This window comes from Homo sapiens, chromosome 9, assembly GCF_000001405.40.
Source record: "Homo sapiens chromosome 9, GRCh38.p14 Primary Assembly".
In the NCBI taxonomy this organism is placed as follows: domain Eukaryota; kingdom Metazoa; phylum Chordata; class Mammalia; order Primates; family Hominidae; genus Homo; species Homo sapiens.
This window is the reverse complement of record NC_000009.12, coordinates 99,986,458-100,001,557: the sequence shown is the minus strand read 5'-3', so window position 1 is coordinate 100,001,557 and position 15,100 is coordinate 99,986,458. Positions and strand designations below refer to the sequence as shown.

General features: G+C 39.3%; 1 protein-coding gene and 1 pseudogene across 1 annotated transcript in view; both read left to right on the top strand.

The window, feature by feature from the left end:
* The window catches only part of ERP44 (endoplasmic reticulum protein 44), a 119,816-nt gene that overhangs the window by 97,443 nt on the left and 7,273 nt on the right, over window positions 1-15,100 (top strand). The gene's annotated exons all lie outside the window — the stretch shown is intronic.
* On the top strand, window positions 2,371-3,554 carry UPF3AP3 (UPF3A pseudogene 3; annotated as a pseudogene).

The window sequence follows — 15,100 nt, the reverse complement described above, 5'->3', positions numbered from 1 at the left end:
CAAGAGGATATAATAATTACAAATATATCTGCATGCAACATTGGAACACCAAAATATATAAAGAAAATATTAATAGATCTGAAAGGAGACTATAATACAGTAATAGTAGGGGACTTCAATACCCTACTTTTTCAGCAAGGGCCACATCATCCAGACAGAAAAATAGGGAAATTTTGGACTTAAATAGTTTTAGCTCAAAGGGACCTAACATACTTATATAGAACATTCTATTCAACTGAAGCAAGATACACATTCTTCTCAAGTGCCCATGGAACATTCTTCAGGATAGATCATATGTTAGGCCACAAACAAGTCTTACCAAATTTAAGAAGATTAAAATTGTATCAAATATCTTTTCTGACCACAATGGTATGAAGCTAGAAATCAATAACTGGGAGTAAATTGGAAAATTCACAAATACCTAGAAATCAAACATGTTACTGAACAACCAGTGGAGCAAAGAAGAATTTAAAAGGGAAATTTTAAATTATCTTTTAAAAAATGGAAATGGAAATACAACATACCAAACAAAACTTATGGGAAGCAGCAAAAATAGTTTTAGGAAGGAAGTTTTATAGCAAGAAACACCTACATCAGAAAACAAGAAAGATCTCAACCTAACATTACATCTCAAGGAACTAGAAAAAGAACAAACCAAGCCCAAATTTAGTAGAAGGAAGAAAATAATAAAGATCAGAAGAAATAAATGAAATTGAGATTAGAAAAACAATAGAAAAGAGCAACAAAACTATAGCTGGTTTTTTAAAAAGATAAAATTTTAAAACTTTTAGCTAGAATTAAAGAGAGAAGTCTCAAAAAATAAGAAATGAAAGAGGAGACATTACAACTGATACTACAGAAATACAAAAGAATAAGAGGCTACTATGAATAATTATGTCAACAAATTAATAATGTAGAAGAAAATACTAGGCACATACAATCTACCAAGGTGGAATCATGAAACAGAAAATCTAAACAGACCAATAGCAACCAATAACAAATAAGAGATTGAATCAGTAATGAAAAGTCTACCATCAAAGAAAAGCCCAGGACCTGATGACCATTCTTTCTAAAACTACCAAAAAATTGAAGAAGGGAGAAAGTTTTTTTTTTTTTTTTTTTGATACAGGATCTTGCTTTATCACTCAGGCTGGCGTGCAGTGGAGCAATCATAACTCACTGCAGCCTCAAATTCCTGGGCTCAAGTAATCCCACCTCAAGCCTCCCGAGTAGGTGGGACTACAGGCATGTGCCACCATGCCCACCTAATTTTTTTTTTACTTTTTATAGAGATGGATTCTTGCTGTTTTCCAGGCTGGTTTCAAGCTCCTGGCCTGGCCTGAAGTGATCCTCCCACTTACGGCCTTCCAAAGCACTGGGATTAGAGACATGAGCCACTGCACCGGCCTGGGAGAACACTCTTAAACACATTCAAAGTCAGACTAGGACACTACAAGAAAAGAAAATTACAGGGTAATATCCTTGATAAACATAGATGCAAAAGTCCTCAACAAAATCCTAGCAAACTAGAGACCCTGGTTATGGTCAATTGATTTTTGACGATGGTGCAAAAAAGGTGCACTTTTCCCAGCACCAAAAAGAGAGAGAAAAGAGAGTCTCTTCAATAAATGGTGCTGGAAAAAGCGGGGGGAAACTGGATATCTACATGCAGAAGAATGAAATTAGACCCTCATCTCGCCCCGTATACAAATATCATCTCAAAATAGATTAAAGACATTAACATAAGATCTGAAATTTTAAGAGTACTGAAGAAAACAGGGAAAGCTTCATGACATTAGTGTGGGCCACAAATTTTTGGATATGACCCCAAAAGCACAGGCAATAAAAGCAAAAATAGAAAAATTGGATTACGTCAAACTAAAAAGTTTCTGCACAGTGAAGGAAATCTACAAAGTGAAAAAAACAACCTACAGAATGGGAAAAAGGATTTGCAAACCATACATCTGATGAGGGGTTAATACTTAAAATATATAAAGAATCCAAACAAATCAATAGTAAGAAAACAACCTGATTGAAAATGGGTAAGGCATCTGAATAAACATTTCTCAAAATAAGACACACAAGCGGCCAATAGGTATATGAAAAAGTGCTCAACATCACTAATCATCAAAGATATTAGAATGGTGTCTTTGACAACCCATGGAGTGGGAGAAAATCTTCACAATCTATACGTCTGACAAAGGACTAACATCCAGAATCGACAATGAACTTAAATCAGTAAGAAAAAAACAAATAATCTCATCAAAAAGTGGGCTAAGGACATGAATAGACAGTTCTCAAAAGATACACAAATGGCCAACAAACATATGAAAAAATGATCAACATCGAGAGGACGGCCTTGAGCGGAGGGGGAGGGGCGGGGGACAGGGTCGGGGGGCGGAGCCCTGGCCTCCCAGCGCGGTACACTGTGCCTCAGGTGCGCCGTGTCCACGCCCCGCCGCTGTGGGAACGGCCGTGCGCTCCCTGCAGGCGGTCATCCGCCTCCTGCCCCGGGCCTCACCAAGGAGCAGCTGCGCCCGCTGCCCACGCACGACTACTTCCAGTTCTTTGCCGCCGACCTGAGATCCAGAATATAAAAACTTTTTAGAAACCTACTGTGTGGAGGAAGAGAAGACCAGTGCCAACCCTGAGACTGCTGGGGGAGATGGAGGCGAAGACAAGAGAGCTCATTGCTAGAAGAACTACACCTATTTTGGAATATATTAAAAATAGAAAATTAGAAAAGCAGAGAATTCGAGAAGAGAAGCGAGAAGAACGGAGGAGGAGAGAGAAAAGAAACGTTTGCGGGAAGAGGAAAAAAGAAAAGAGATGCAAAAAATGAGATAAACCGAAGAAAATTGCAGAGAAGTAAGGATTAAGGTCACACAGCAGCAGTGACAAAGAGCACAGGGATGTGGAGAGATCTCAAGAAAAAGAATCTGAAGCACAAAGACAGCATGTGGATGACGGCAGGAGGCACAGAGCTCACCACGAGCCTGACTGGCTTTCCAGAAGGCGTGAAGATTAGCAGAGATGGGGGAGCCGGGACAGCGGGGCTCCGAGGGAGGCCGTGGAGAGACCAGGAAGAGTGCAGAGGTGTGATGACGGTCCGGCACCCAGAAAGGAGTGACTGGCAAACGAGGACCGGCCGGCCTTGCAGCTGTATGATCCGGGAGCTCGCGTGTGGCGGAAGCGGGAGGAACTGCAAGGCAAAAGGTTCGGGGACAGATCCTGAGAACAGGGAAGAGGCAGAATGAGTCACTGCGTGCACCAGCCCTCCGTGGACGAGCGAGGGTATCCCAGAAATGTGTAAATGACCCCGAGTGTGACTGGGAAGGAGAACTTACTCCTTACCAGGAAACTGGAAGCTAAAAATACAGAGGGTGACATAGAAACACACAGAAACCATTCTAAAGAAAGTAGTGATCATGTCTTAAATTAAGCAGAATTCTCACGGATTTTAACCATTCCTGTTATACACTAGTATTTGTTGTTTAGCCAAAACAGAAAATGACTTCCATTGGACAGTAGAAAAATGTGTGTAAAATAGGGAAGAAAGTTAGTATTGGATCAGTGCAAGTCCTGAAGCACTTTCAGTGCTGTGAGAACGACACCCACTTTGGGTTTCATTCTTTTGTAAGCAGAGGAGCTGTCAGTCGCTTGTGCTTCTCGGTGGCCTCTGAGCTGTGGTGTCGAGTAAAGAGCAGTTCTTGTTTGTTACAACCTTTGTGAGTCAGCCATGCCTGCAAAGTGTGCTGTGTTTTAGTCCTGGTAGGAATATATATCAACAGTTCACACTGTATAAAACCCAATAGCTTCAACTATTGCCCTTTCAACAGTTTTGCCACTGACCGGATGAAAATGGTTTCACAGTCTTTGGATGGATGCATTTGTGGTTTGTAACCATTACGGTTTAAACCATGGTTTAAGGATTTGCCCAAATAACAGAAATTTTGTTCGGGAAGGGATAAATTTGGTAAAGCATATAGAGCCTGCCTTTGCGTTTTAGACACTTTATTTGTAAATAACTTAAAATAGCTTTCTGAAACTGTGCATTCTACAGTTTTTTCCTTTCAGTGAAATTGTTAAATGTTAATGTATTTTTGGCACTGCGATTTTAACCATTTATTAAATAAAAATTTTGTTAAAAAAATGCTAAACATCACTAATGATCATCAGGGAAATGCAAATAAAAACTACAATGCAATACCACCTTATTTCTGCAAGAATGGCCATAATAAAAAAATTTTAAAAAGTAGATGTTGGCGTGGATGTGGTGATCAGGCAACACTGCTGGTGGGAATGTAGACTAGTACAGCCGCTGTGGAAAACAGTGTGGAGATTCCTTTAAGAACTGAAAGTAGAACTACCATTTGATACAGCAATCCCGCTACTGGGTATCTACCCAGAGGAAAGGAAGTCATTATATGAAAAAGATACTTCGCACGCATGTTTATAGCAGCACAATTCACAATTGCAAGATCATGGAACCAACCCAAATGCCCATCAGTCAACAAGTCGATAAACTGTGGTGTGTGTATATGTGCATATATATATATATATACACACACATATACATACGTGTGTATGTGTACATATACATGTGTGTGTGTATATGTATGTGTATATATATACATATATATATATATGTATATATATACACATACACGATGGAATACTGCTCAGCCATAAAAAGGAATGAACAGCATTTACAGTGATCTGGATGAGATTGGAGACTATTATTCTAAGTGAAGCAACTCAGGAATGGAAAACCAAACATTGTATGTTCTTACTGATATGTGGGAGCTAAGCTATGAGGACACAAAGGCTTAAGAATAAAACAATGGACTTTGGGGACTTGTGAGGAAGGGTGGGAGGTGGGTGAGGGATAAAAGACTACAAATAGGGTGTAGTGTATACTGCTCTGGTGATGGGTGCACCAAAATCTCACAAGTCACCACTAAAGAACTTACTAATGTAACCAAATACCACCTGTACCCCAATAACCAATGGGGGAAAAAAAAGAATAATGGTGTCTTTGTTTTGTCTTGCTATAAAGGAATACCTGAGGCTGGGTAATTTATAAAGAAAAGAGGTTTATTTAGCTTATGGTTCTACAGGCTGTACAAGAAGCATGACACCTGCATCTGTGTAGCTTCTGGTGAGGGCTTTTATGCTGCCTTAAAACGTGGCAGAGAAAGTAAAAGTGGAAGTGGGCACATGCAAAGAGGGACCAAAGCTGAGGGGCGTCCTGGCTTTGTAACAACTCACTCTCACAGGATCTAATTCAATCCCAGCAAAACTAATCCTATCTCACTAGAGCTAGAACTCAACTACCATGAGGGTGGCACCAAGCCATTCATGAGGGATCTGCCTCCGTGACCCAAATACCTCTCATTAGGCACCACCTACCAGCACCTCCATGTTGGGGATAAAATTTCAAAATGAGGTTTGGTGGAGACAAACCAACCATATGCAAACCATAGAAGATGACTATTATAAAAGAGACAAAAGCGGTGGTGAGGATGTGTGAAAAAAGGGAACCCTTGCACACTGTTGGTGGAAATGTAGATTAGTATAGTCATTATGGAAAACAGTATGGAGTTTACTCAAAATAAAAAAAAAAAAAAAAAAAAAGAACTACCCTATGATCCAGCAATCCCACTACTGGGTATCTATCCAAAAGATAGGAAATCAATCTGTTGAAGAAATATCTGCACTCCTATGTTCATTGCAGCATTATTCACAATAGGCAAGATACGGAATCAATCCAAGTGTCTGTCTACAGATGAATGGATAAAGAAAATGTGCTATATATACACAATGGGATACTATTTAGCCTTAAAAAAGAATGAGATCCTGTCATTTGTAACAACATGAATGAACTAGGAGTGAACAGTATGTTAAGTGGAATAAGAAGCCAAGCACAGAAAGACAAATACTGCATGATCTCACTCATATGCAGAATATTAAAAGTTGAACTCATAGAGGTGGAGAGTAGAATGGTTGTTACCAGAGGCTGGGGGTTATGGGGATTGGGGAGATTTTTAAAAAAGGAAACTTCAGTCTTTCAAAGGGCATCTATAAAGGACCTACAGCTAATGTCATATCTAATGATAAAGGATCAAATGCTTTTCCTGTATGATAGAGAACTAGGCAAAGATGTTCAATCTCACCACTTCTTTTAGTATTTTACTGGAAATCCTAGCAGAACAAGAAAATAAATGAAAGGCATTCAGACCTGAAAGGAATAAATAAAACTAACTTTCTTTGTATATAACATGATTATCTGTATAGAAATTACCAACAAATTATTAAAAAGCTCCTAGAACTACTAAGTGATTTGAGCAGTATACAGGTTAACTTTTTAAAACATCACTTTTATTTCTATACAAAGACAATGAACAATTGGAAACCAGGATTTTTTTTTTTAAGTTCCATTTATAGTAGCTCCAAAAGGAGGGGGAAAAAAAAACTACCTAGGTATAAATCAAACAAAACATGTGCAGAATCTGTATGTTGAAAGTTACAAAATGCTGCTGAAGGAAATCCAAGACAACCAAAATAAACGAGGAAGTATACTGTGTTGATGGATTACAACACTCGATACAGTCAAATTGACCTATAAATTTAATGTGATCCCAGTCAAAATCTCAGCTAGATTCATTGTAGATATAGACAACCAGATTCTAAAATTTATATGGAAAGGTTAAACCAGAATAGCTAAAACTGTTTTGAAAAAGAAACAAAGTTGGAGGACTCACATTACCTAGTTTTAAGACACAATATAAATCTAAGGTAATTAATACAGTGTAGTATAGGTGAAAGAGTAGGTACATAGAGCCATGGAAGAGAGAGAGTCTAGAAATAGACATACAAGTATGGTAATAGATTTTTTTTTTAATTGTACTTTTTTAAGTTCTAGGGTACATGTGCACAACGTGCAGGTTTGTTACTTATGTATATGTATGCCATGTTGGTTTGCTGCACCCATTAACTCGTCATTTACGTTAGGTATTTCTCCTAATGCTATCCCTCCCCGCTCCCCTCACCCCACACCAGGCCCCGGTGTGTGATGTTCCCTGCCCCATGTCCAAGTGTTGTCATTGTTCATTTCCCACCTGTGAGTGAGAACATGCAGTGTTTGGTTTTCTGTTGTTGGGATAGTTTGCTCAGAATGATGGTTTCCAGCTTCATCCATATCCCTACAAAGGACATGAACTCATCTTTTTTTGTGGCTGCATAGTATTCCACGGTGTATATGTGCCACATTTTCTTAATCCAGTCTATCACTGATGGACACTTTGTTTGGTTCCAAGTCTTTGCTATTGTGAATAGTGCCGCGATTAACATATGTGTGCATGTGTCTTTATAATAGCATGATTTATAATGCTTTGGGTATATACCCAGTAATGGGATGGCTGGGTCAAATGGTATTTCTAGTTCTAGATCCTGGAGGAATTGCCACACTGTCTTCCACAATGGTTGAACTAGTTTACACTCCCACCAACAGTGTAAAAGCGTTCCTATTTCTCCACATCCTCTCCAGCACCTGTTGTTTCCTGACTTAATGATTGCCATTCTAACTGGTGTGAGATGGCATCTCATTGTGGTTTTGATTTGCATTTCTCTGATGGCCAGTGATGATGAGCATTTTTTCATGTGCCTGTTGGCTGCATAAATACCTTCTTTTGAGACCTGTCTGTTCATATCCTTTGCCCACTTTTTGATGGGGTTTTTTCTTGTAAATTTGTTTAAGTTCTTTGTAGATTCTGGTTATTACCCCTTTGTCAGATGGGTAGATTGGAAAAATTTTCTCCCATTCTTAAGGTTGCCTGTTCACTCTGATGGTAGTTTCTTTTGCTGTGCAGAAGCTCTTTAGTTTAATTAGATCCCATTTGTCAATTTTGGCTTTTGTTGCCATTGCTTTTGGTGTTTGAGCCATAAAGTCCTTGCCCATGCCTATGTCCTGAATGGTATTGCCTAGGTTTTCTTCTAGGGTTTTTATGGTTTTAGGTCTAACATTTAAGTCTTTAATCCATCTTGAATTAATTTTTGTATATGGTGTAAGGAAGGGATCCAGTTTCAGCTTTCTATATATGGCTAGCCAGTTTTCCCAGCACCATTTATTAAATAGGGAATCCTTTCCCCATTTCTTGTGTTTGTCAGGTTTGTCAAAGATCAGATGGTTGTAGATGTATGGTGTTATTTCTGAGGCCTCTGTTCTGTTCCATTGGTCTATCTCTCTGTTTTGGTACCAGTACCATGCTGTTTTGGTTACTGTAGCCTTGTAGTATAGTTTGAAGTCAGGTAGCGTGATGCCTCCAGCTTTCTTCCTTTTGCTTAGGATTGAATTGGCAATGGGGCTCTTTTTTGGTTCCATATGAATTTTAAAGTAATGTTTCCAATTCTGTGAAGAAAGTCACTGGTAGCTTGATGGGGATGGCATTGAATCTATAAATTACCTTGGGCAGTATGGCCATTTTTATGATATTGATTCTTCCTATCCACGAGCATGGAATGTTCTTCCATTTGTTTGCGTCCTCTTTTAATTCGTTGAGCAGTGGTTTGTAGTTCTCCTTGAAGAGGTCCTTCACATCCCTTGTAAATTGGATTCCTAGGTATTTTATTCTCTTTGTAGCAGTTGTGAATGGGAGTTCACTCATGATTTGGCTGGCTGTCTGTTACTGGTGTATAAGAATGCTTGTGATTTTTGCACATTGATTTTGTATCCCAAGACTTTGCTGAAGTTGCTTATCAGCTTAAGGAGATTTTGGACTGAGACAATGGGGTTTTCTAAATATATAATCATGTCATCTGTAAACAGGGACAGTTTGACTTCCTCTTTTCCTAATTGAATACCCTTTATTTCTTTCTCCTGCCTGATTGCCGTGGCCAGAACTTCCAACACTATGTTGAATAGGAGTGGTGAGAGAGGGCATCCCTGTCTTGTGCCAGTTTTCAAAGGGAATGCTTCCAGTTTTTGCCCATTCAGTATGATATTGGCTGTGGGTTTGTCATAAATAGCTCTTATTATTTAGAGATACGTTCCATCAATACCTAGTTTATTGAGAGTTTGTAGCATGAAGGGCTGTTGAATTTTGTCAAAGGCCTTTTCTGCATCTATTGAGATAATCCTGTGGTTTTTGTCTTTGGTTCTGTTTATGTGATGGATTACGTTTATTGATTTGCATATGTTGAACCAGCCTTGCATCCCAGGGATGAAGCCCACTTGATCTTGGTGGATAAGCTTTTTAATGTGCTGCTGGATTTGGTTTACCAGTGTTTTATTGAGGATTTTTGCATCCATGTTCATCAGGGTTACTGGTCTAAATTCTCTTTTTTTGTTGTGTCTCTGCCAGGCTTTGGTATCAGGATGATGCTGGCCTCATAAAATGAGTTAGGGAGGATTCTCTCTTTTTCTATTGATTGGAATAGTTTCAGAAGGAATGGTACCAGCTGCTCTTTGTACCTCTGGTAGAAGTCGGCTGTGAATCCGTCTGGTCCTGGACTTTTTTTGGTTGGTAGCCTGTTAATTATTGCCTCAATTTCAGAGCCTGTTATTGGTCTATTCAGGGATTCAACGTCTTCCTGGTTTAGCCTTGGGAGGGTGTATGCATCCAGGAATTTATCCATTTCTTCTAGATTTTCTAGTTTATTTGCATAGAGGTGTTTATAGTATTCTCTGATGCTAGTTTGTATTTCTGTGGGATCGGTGGTGATATCCCCTTTATCATTTTTTTATTGCATCTATTTGATTCTTCTCTCTTTTCTTCTTTATTAGTCTTGCTAGCAGTCTATCAATTTTGTTGATCTTTTCAAAAAACCAGCTCCTGGATTCATTGATTTTTTTGAAGGGGTTTTTGTGTCTCTATCTCCTCCATTTCTGCTCTGATCTTAGTTATTTCTTGCCTTCTGCTAGCTTTTGAATTAGTTTGCTCTTGCTTCTCTAGTTATTTTAATTGTGATGGTAGGGTATAAATTTTAGATCTTTCCTGCTTTCTTTTATGGGCATTTAGTGCTATAAATTTCCCTCTACGGACTGCTTTAAATGTTTCCCAGAGACCCTGGTACACTGTCTTTGTTCTCATTGGCTTCAAAGAACATCTTTATTTCTGCCTTCATTTTGTGATTTACCCAGTAGTCATTCAGGAGCAGGTTGTTAAGTTTCCATTTAGTTGTGTGGTTTTGAGTGAATTTCTTAATCCTGAGTTCTAATTTAATTGCACTGTGGTCTGAGAGACAGTTTGCTGTGATTTCTGTTCTTTTATATTTGCTGAGGAGTGCTTTACTTCCAACTATGTGGTCAGTTTTGGAATAAGTGTGATGTGGTGCTGAGAAGAATGTATATTCTGTTGATTTGGGGTGGAGAGTTCTGTAGATGTCTATTAGGTCAGCTTGGTGTGGAGCTGAGTTCAAGTGCTGGATATCCATGTTAACCTTGTATCTCATTGATCTGTCTAATATTGACAGTGGGGTGTTAAAGCCTCCCATTATTATTGTGTGGGAGTCTAAGTCTCTTTGTAGGTCTCTAAGGACTTGCTTTATGAATCTGGATGCTCCCGTATTGGGTGCATATGTATTTAGGATAGTTAGCTCTTCTTGTTGATTTGATCCCTTTACCATTATGTAATGGCCTTCTTTGTCTCTTTTGATCTTTGTTGGTTTAAAGTCTGTTTTGTCAGAGATTAGGATTGCAACCCCTGCTTTTTTTTTGCTTTCCATTTTCTTGGTAGATCTTCCTCCATCCCTTTATTTTGAGCCTATGTGTGTCTCTGCACGTGAGATGGGTCTCCTGAATACAGCACACTGTTGGGTCTTGACTCTTTATCCAATTTGCCAGTCTGTGTCTTTTAATTGGGGCATTTAGCCCATTTACGTTTAAGGTTAATATTGTTAGGTGTGAATTTGATCCTGTCATTATGATGTTAGCTGGTTATTTTGCTCATTAGTTGATGCAGTTTCTTCCTAGCATCAATGGTCTTTACACTTTGGCATGTTTTTGCAGTGGCTGGTACTGGTTGTTCCTTTCCATGTTTAGTACTTCCTTCAGGAGCTCTTGTAAGGCAGGCCTGGTGGTGACAAAATCTCTCAGCATTTGCTTGTCTGTAAAGGATTTTATTTCTCCTTCACTTATGAAGCTTAGTTTGGCTGGATATGAAATTCTGTGTTGAAAATTGTTTTCTTTGAGAATGTTGAATATTGGCCCCTACTCTCTTCTGGCTTGCAGAGTTTCTGCCGAGATATCCGCTGTTAGTCTGATGGGCTTCCCTTTGTGGGTAACCTGACCTTTCTCTCTGGCTGCCCTTAACATTTTTTCCTTCAACTTTGGTGAATCTGACAATTATGTGTCTTGGGGTTGCTCTTGTCGAGGAGTATCTTTGTGGTGTTCTCTGTATTTCCTGAATTTGAATGTTGGCCTGCCTTGCTAGGTTTGGGAAGTTCTCCTGGATAATATCCTGAAGAGTGTTTTCCAGCCTGGTTCCATTCTCCCCATCACTTTCAGGTACACCAGTCAAATGTAGATTTGGTCTTTTCACGTAGTCTCATATTTCTTGGAGGCTTTGTTTGTCTCTTTTTACTCTTTTTTCTCTAACCTTCACACTTTATTTCATTCATTTGATCTTCAATCACTGATACCCTTTCTTCCACTGGATCGAATCGGCTACTGTAGCTTGTGCATGTGTCACATAGTTCTCGTGCCATGGTTTTCAGCTCCATCCGGTCATTTAAAGTCTTCTCTACACTGTTTATTCTAGTTAGCCTTTCATCTTTTTTCAAGGTTTTCGGCTTCCTTGTGATGGGTTCGAACATCCTCCTTTAACTTGGAGAAGTTTGTTATTACCGACCTTCTGAAGCCTACTTCTGTCAACTTTCCTGCTTTGTTCCATTGCTGGCGAGGAGCTGTGATCCTTTGGAGGAGAAGAGGTGCTTTGGTTTTCAGAATTTTCAGCTTTTCTGCTCTGGTTTCTCCCCATCTTTGTGGTTTTATCTACTTTTGGCCTTTGATGATGGTGACCTACAGATGGGGTTTTTGTGTGAATGTCCTTTTTGTTGATGTTGGTGCTATTCCTTTCTGTTTGTTAGTTTTCCTACTAACAGTCAGGTCCCTCACCTGCAAGTCTGTTGGAGTTTGCTGGAGGTCCACTCCAGACCCTGTTTGCCTGGGTATCACAACAGCAAATATTGCAGGAGGGCAATTATTGCTGCCTAATCCTTTCTCTGGAAGCTTCGTCTCAGAGGGGCACCCAGCTGTATGAGGTGTCAGTCGGCTCCTACTGGGAGGTGTCTCCCAGTTAGGCTACACGGGGGTCAGGGACCCACTTGAGGAGGCAGTCTGCCTGTTCACAGAGCTCAAACATGCTGGGAGAACCACTGCTCTCTTCAGAGCTGTCAGACAAGGACGTTTAAGTCTGCAGAAGTTTCTGCTGCCTTTTATTCAGCTATGCCCTGCCCCCAGAGGTGGTGTCTACAGAGGCCAGCAGGCCTTGTTGAGCTGCGGTGGGCTCCACCCAGTTCGAGATTCCTGGCCGCTTTGTTTACCTAGTCAAGCCTCAGCAATGGCAGGCACCCCTCCTCCAGCCAGGCTGCCACCTCGCAGTTCCATCTCGGACTGCTGCGCTAGCTAGCAGTGAGCAAGGCTCTGTGGGCGTGGGAGCCACTGAGCCAGGTGTGGGATATAATCTCCTGGTGTGCCGTTTGCTAAGATCATTGGAAAAGCGCAGTATTTGGGTGGGAATGTCCTGTTTTTTCCGGTACAGTCTGTCATGGCTTCCCTTGGCTAGGAAAGGTAAATCCCCCAATCCCTTGTGCTTCCTGGGTGAGGCAATGCCCCACCCTGCTTCGGCTCGCCCTCCATGGGCTGCATCCACTGTCCAACCAGTCCCAGTGAGATGAACCAGGTACCTCAGTTTGAAATGCAGAAATCACCCGTCTTCTGCGTTGATCACACTGGGAGCTGCAGATTGGAGCTCTTCCTATTCGGCCATCTTGGAAGGGTAATCCCAGTAATAGATTTTTTTAAAGGTGCTAAGGCAATTCAGTGGAGAAAGAATAGTCTTTTCAAGAGATGGTGCTAGACTAACTGAATGTCCTCATACCAAAAAAGAATTTCCTTCTATGAAAAATTAACTTAGAATTTATCATGTACCTATATGTAAGATAAAACTAGAAAACTCTTAGAAGCGAACATAGGAGAAACTCTTTATGACCTGGGGTTTCACAGAGAGTTCTTAGAGTATCAAAAGCACTATCCATAAAAGGAAATCATTTATAAATTGGTCTTCATCAAATTAAAAACTTTTGTTCTGTGAAAGATACTGATAGAATGTAAAGAAGATATAGGGATGGCAGATAAACACATGTGAAGGGTGCTCAACATCATTAGTATATATTTTTTAGAATGCCTAAATTAAAATACTGATAATACAAGGTATTCATGAGGATGTGGAACAACTGGAAGTTTCATACATTGCTGGTGGATTACAACATGATACAGTCACTCTAGAAAACAGTTTGGCAGTTTCTTCAAAAGTAAGACATATACCTACCATATAACCTGGCATTTATTCTAGACAAAGTTCACAAAAACTTGTGCACAAATGTTTGTAGCAGTATTGTTCATAATCACCAAAATCTGGAAAGAACTTGAATGTCCTTGAATGGATAAACTAATTGTGTATCTACTCAATGGGAAATACTGTTCAGCAATGGATACAGGAACAGATCTTTTTATACATACAAAAATGGCTGAATCCCAAATGCAATAATGCCAAGTGAAAAAAAAAAGCCATTCTTATAATTACATGTTGTATGATTTTCTAGAAATGACAACATAGAAGGTCAACAGTTGCCAGGGGTTATGGGAAATGGAAGAGTCTGACTTAAAAAGGGTGTTGGAATTGTTCTGTACCTGATTTGAGAAGCTGGTAGCAAAATGCTATGCACATGTTAAAACTCATAAAACTTAAGCCTAAAAAAGTGAATTCTGCTGTATGTAAATTTTAAGAAATAAAAATACGTATTACCTTGTATTCATTTGTCAAAGTTTGTTCATACACTTAACATTTGTGCATTTCACTATGTCAAAATTTTGTGTCACCTAAAAATAAAGAATTGTAAATAAACAAAAAAGTAACTGGAGGATGGGAAACACTTAGGTGTTCTAATTAGAACAATTTTGCCCTAAAGCGTGATATATATAATTTTATTTATTATGGCAAGGGCCCATTTATTTTCCTGTTTAGGAGATTACCACGTAGTCTATTTTCTTGACAATTTAGTGTTGATTCACTGAATGTTACTTCTTAATAATGATGGATAGTTTCTGGCCACAAGCTAGATAAGAGCTCTTTTATAATCTATTTTTCTACTGCATCAGTTCAGATTCATCCTATCTCTCGTCTTTTCCTTTTGCACACATTCTTTCATCTGTTGACAGTGGAAAAAAATCAGCTTGGAAAAATGTGTTTTGAGTGTTTTCATGAATTTCTCACATTTAAGATTTAATCATAAATTATTTCTTGACTAGCAGAAGCAGTTCATACTGTATTAGTTGTGATAATCTTTGGCCCTCATAAAACAAACTAGCAGAGGCTTTATCTTAAACATTATAGACCCCATTTGCAATGCTATGGATTGAATGGATATATTTTAGCACTTGCTGTGGGTGACAGTAGATGATGTCAGATTAAATTTAAATTGATCTCCTCTCAATGTTTATCTCTGGTGCATGTGCAATTACTTCAGCACCAGAGAACCTTTCAGAGGCATTCTGTCAATACAGCTACCTGACAGTCATTTGTATTTGTAAACTGTGCATTTGGCACCTGCTGGTCTCTGTTGCATTGGAGCTAGTGGGGAGCCAAAATGGGTATACAATGAAGTTATTGGTTGGTACATCTCAGTGGGAGTTATTGAAGGGAAGAAACAGCACTTCCGGGACCTCAAGAGAGGATAAAAAGTAAAAGAAACTGGTAATATTAACTACAAGCCAGCTATTGTTTGCTACCAAAAAAATAATGATTTTAAAAGTCAATCAATTCTACCCAAGGAATTAAAGTGTATATGGACCTGCATTTTAATTCTTGTAACAGAATGA